General features: G+C 39.7%; 1 annotated feature.

Annotated features, from left to right (window-relative positions):
- Positions 1,101–2,300: an enhancer, noted in NCBI's record as "MED14-independent group 3 enhancer chr2:53631040-53632239 (GRCh37/hg19 assembly coordinates)". NCBI's record gives its function as "activates an origin of replication core promoter dependent on BRD2, BRD4, P300/CBP and CDK7 cofactors, and independent of MED14, by STARR-seq in HCT116 cells {active_cell/tissue: HCT116}" and the evidence as "EXISTENCE:reporter gene assay evidence [ECO:0000049][PMID:35650434]".

Genomic DNA, 4,763 nt, shown 5'->3' with positions numbered 1-4,763 from the left:
CCATCATTCACTGGTCCTTAGTAATTATAAATTCCCTGCAGGCAGGAATGTGAGGGATAAGTTCCTTGATTAGCCACCCAAAAACCTCTGATTCTGTTCTTTGGAAGGAACTCCCTCATCCATTGTCCTGTGTTGCTCTGGATTTGCTCCTGGAAAGTTTTTTCTTTTCTATTTCCATGCAAGGACATCTCTGAGGACAATGGTTAGTAAGCCCCATGGAATCTTTCACATCACTTATTATTTTTGCTGTTTTGTTGGGGGGAGTAGGGCAGGAATTGTATTCTGAAGTATAGACAGTTATAGACCTTCCCCTGGCTAAAGATGGATGTAACAATATCTTCCATCCTACGAGTTCTTCTTACAAAATAAGCAGTTATTTCCCCATCAAGAAGTAGAGTCTCTGTTTCCTCTCCTTGAAACTTGCACCTTTTGACTGCCTCAACAAAAGAGTATGGCAGAATGGCACCAAGTGACTTCCAAGGCAACATCATAAAAGGTGATGCAGCTTCTACCTGTCTTTCTAGGATGCTTTCTCTTAGAAACAAGCCACCATGTTATGAGGGAACTGTGCCATCATGAAAAGAGGGTTCCTAGATTTCCACCCTCTAATAATTTGTTGTGACCTACTACCCACCACACCTTAGAAGCCAATACTTGATATTTTTTAGGTGCCCACTTCCAGGTATCCACATTCTGAATCACTTTGGATTAGATTCAGCTACACATAACAGATAAATACAAATAACAGTGGCTTACATAAGGTAGAAGTATATTTCTGTTCAACACAGAGGACTCCAGAGGTAGGGAATCCAGGATTTTTATGGTAGTTGCATGATTATCAGGATTCAGTTTCTTCTCTCTTAGTGCTCTGTTATTCTTAATTTGATGCCTTATGTTCCAAGATAGCTGCTTGAACTCTAATCATCATGCCTACTCTCTAGCCAGGAGTAAGGAAAAAGGTAGGAGAAAAAGATCATTCTTCTTCCTTTAAGGGCACTTATTAGAAGTTTTACGTACAGCTTTCCATTTATACTCCATTTTTCAGCAACTCGTCATCTGGCTGCACTTAGCTGGAAGGGAAGATGGGAAATGTTTTTATTCTGGGTAGACATGTACCATAGTCATGTACCATGAGTAGCCCTTAGTCACATTTTCTTTAAAATTACTTAGCTGTGTTTTATATTTTCTTTATATCATTTTCTCATGAATTTAAACTTTTAAATGAACTGTGTTATGCAAGGGAACATTACTGGGACTTAATCAGAAAGGGGGCATTTTGGGATGATAAAGATGAGAAAATTAAACCTCACATGTGTCCTTGGGACCTGGACTCCCAGGACCTCATTCATTCCTGGTAACTGAATCCCCCACACCAACCCTTATTAACCATTCTCACGGCAAGCTATAGTCTTCCCAAAAGGATTTATTATTTGCATTTTGGGGAGGCAATTAGAAGTTTACAGTAAGATTTAAGTTTGATAAGAACCCCAGTGCCGTTTTCTGTATTTCATCTCAATAACCTGACGAAGGATTTTTTTTTTCCCTAGCTTAATAAACTTTGTCAAATCTGATACTAGGAGAAAAAGCTGTTTGATCAAATGAAAACTTCTTTTTGTTTATCAAAAATAAGTTGATAAGAGATTCAGGAGCCCCCTCTTATTTGTGAGTGATATGTTCCAAGACGCCAGTGGATGCCTGGAACCATGGATACTGCCAAACCCTATACTATGTTTTTTCCTATATATACATATGTATGATAAAATTTACTTTGAAATTAGGCACAGTATGAGACTAACAACAATAACTAATAATAAAATAGAACAATTGTAACAATACAGTGTAATAAAAGTTATGTGAATGTGGTCTCTCTCAAAATATCTCATGCACCATACTCACCCTCCTTTTTCTTGTAATCTAGTGATCACAAGGAAACTCAGATGACTGCTGAGTGACTAACAGGCAGGTAGCATATACAGCATGGATATGCTGGGCAGAGATGATTCATATCCTGGGTGGGATGGAGTAGAATGGTGCAAGATTTTATCATGCTATTCAGGAAAATGCCCAGTTTAAAACTTGTGAGTTGTTTATTTCTGAAAATTTCCATTTAATATTTTCAAACTGAAGTTGTCCATGGGTAGCTGAAACCACAGAAAGTGAAACGGAGAAGAGTGACTACTGTAATGACTTATCTCTTGTTGTGTCTATGAGGAAGATTAATGAGGCATTCGGGTGATAAAAACTCACTAAATTCATTCACGTATTCTTCAGTACTATTAACTGGGTTCTTATATGGCAGATGCAGCACTAGCTGCTGGGGATATTGTGATGAATAGAACAGCCAGTCTTGACTGTAGTAGGCTGAATAATGACCACAAATAATGATCCAAGTCCTAATCCACAGAACCGGTGAATATGTTACCCTATATAATAAAAGAGACTTTGCAGATGTGATGAAATTAAGGATCTTGTTGTGGGGAGAATATTCTGGATTATCTGGGTGGGCCCTGAATGAAATCACAGTGTCCTTCTAAGAGGGATGCAGAGGGAATGTGAGAGAAGAGGAAGAAGGCAATATGATAAAGCAAGGGGAGGTGCAGAGCCGTGGGCCTCGGAGGCAGGACAGCTTCCAGAAGAAGGAAAAGGCCACAAAAAGGATTCTCCCCCAGAGCCTCCATCTGGAGTGGGGCCCTTCCCACAACTCTATTTCAGCCCACCAAAACAGCCAACTTTTGGTCTCCAAAACTGAGAAAGAATAAATTTCTACTGTTGTAAGCCACCAATTTTGTAGTGATTTGTTACAGCAGCTACAAAAAACTAATACATTGCCTTTCACAGAGCTTCTAACCTAGTGGGTTAAAAGGCAATGAGAATAAGGAATGAGACAATATCTTATCAGAAACTTGAAAGAGCAATAGGGGTTAGTCTGGGTAAGAGAGTGGGGAAGGGAAAAATCAGAGATAGCTATAAGTGTTGAGTTTTAAAAAGTCAGCCAGCCTCTTTGGAGAATGCTTTTGTGGGGGCAAGGGATTGGGAGGAATGTTGTGGCAAAAAATGAGGCTGAATGAATCATTAAGCAGGGGATAGATGATGAGGGTTCAAGTCATGCTAAGGAGTTTGCACTGCATTCTTAGAGCCTGGGGGCTGTACAAGAGTCCTGAGCAGAGGGATAGCATAATCAGGCCTCCATTTTAGAAAAACTTCTCAGACTGTAGGGTGGGTTATTGGAAAGCCCCTCATACCACATCACTCTCTTCAGGACCCATTCTTGGGCCTTTCGGGTTTAGACATTTTGTCTTACTATTTTGGTCATTTTCCTAAACATGAACTTTTATTTGCAAGATTCTCTTGGTTTCAAGAGATCTCTTTTTGCTTTCTCTCCCTTGAACTCCAGACACATATATCTGTGTGCCTCCTCAACAACTCCATTTGGATAATAATAAGTATCTAAAATTTAGCATTCCCAAACTGATCTGCAGATTTTCTCTTATCCTAAAGCTGTTCCACATCTCAATAAATGATGACTCCTTTTCAATTGTTCAAGTCAAATACCTTGGAATTGCCCATGACTTTTCTTTTCTCTCATGTCCTACATGCAATCCAACAGGAAATTCTTGATAAGAAACACTTCCAAAATCTGATCACTTCTTGCCATCCACACTGCTTTCCTGGTCCAAGCTACTGTTACCACTCACCTGTATTATTGCAGCCACCTTTGAATTCACTCCCTGATGCTACCACACCTCCTTATGGCTATGCTCAACACAAGATCACTCTTTTAACAAGAGTAATCTTGTTGAAACTTAACTCATGTTCCTCCTTTGCTTAACACCTTCCAGTGGCTCCCCATTTCATGTAGAGTAGAAGCCAGTGGCCTATCGGGCTCTACAGAATCTACCCCTCATACCCCAAGTGAAGATGTAACATTCTGCTCACAGCCTTCCCCTTTTTCCACTCTGCTCAGTCTCACCAGCTTCCTTTCTGTTCCCTGAAAACGCTCATGCTCTCCCCAGGGCCTCGCAGTTCCATTTTCTGCAGTGATTCCCTTTCAGACATCCATGTTGCCAGTTTCCTCATCTGTTTCAAATCTTTGCTCAAACGTCCCCTTCTCAGCAAGGTGTTTTCTGACCGTTGTATTTAAAATCACAAACTTCCTGAACTTTCTTCCACTTCAGCACTCTCTATCCCTCTTTTTTTTTTTTTTTTTTTGGTAGCACATACTTTATAATACTATATAATTTCTTCTTCATTAATATTTTTAACATGTATTCCTCTCCCCTGTGAAAAGTAAGTTCGTTGAAGGAAGACATTTTGTCTGTTTTGTTTAGTAGTTTATTCTCAGTGTCTAAAATATTTCCTGTCACATAAGGGGTGCTTAATAAGGGGTACTTGAATGAATGAGTCAGTGACAGCTGTGTTATGACAGTTTTATTTGGTGATCTTTCTGTGTTTCTTTTTCAGGTCAGAAGTTTATTTGATATTCACAACATGCAACTAAGGGTCCTTTAAGTCTGGAGCCATGTCACATTTCAGAAAAGAAAGGTGAGACACTGAAAAGTTCTTCTGTAAGCAGTGAATGTTAGCACATCTGAATATCTACTAGAAAAATGAACTTACATGCCATACTTATTTAAAATGATTGTGTTTTCTCCCTATCCTAGAGCTTCTTATAGGGTTTGCCATGGCATGCTAAGATAATGGTCCCCTAAGCCCTTAGGAAGGCTGGGGTAACTGGAACTCCCAGGTAGCTGTCTCTGGAGGGA

The sequence above is a fragment of the Homo sapiens genome, chromosome 2 (genome assembly GCF_000001405.40).
Source record: "Homo sapiens chromosome 2, GRCh38.p14 Primary Assembly".
NCBI classification, from domain to species: domain Eukaryota; kingdom Metazoa; phylum Chordata; class Mammalia; order Primates; family Hominidae; genus Homo; species Homo sapiens.
The sequence above is the reverse complement of the archived record's forward strand: the minus strand, read 5'-3'. Positions and strand labels throughout refer to the sequence as shown.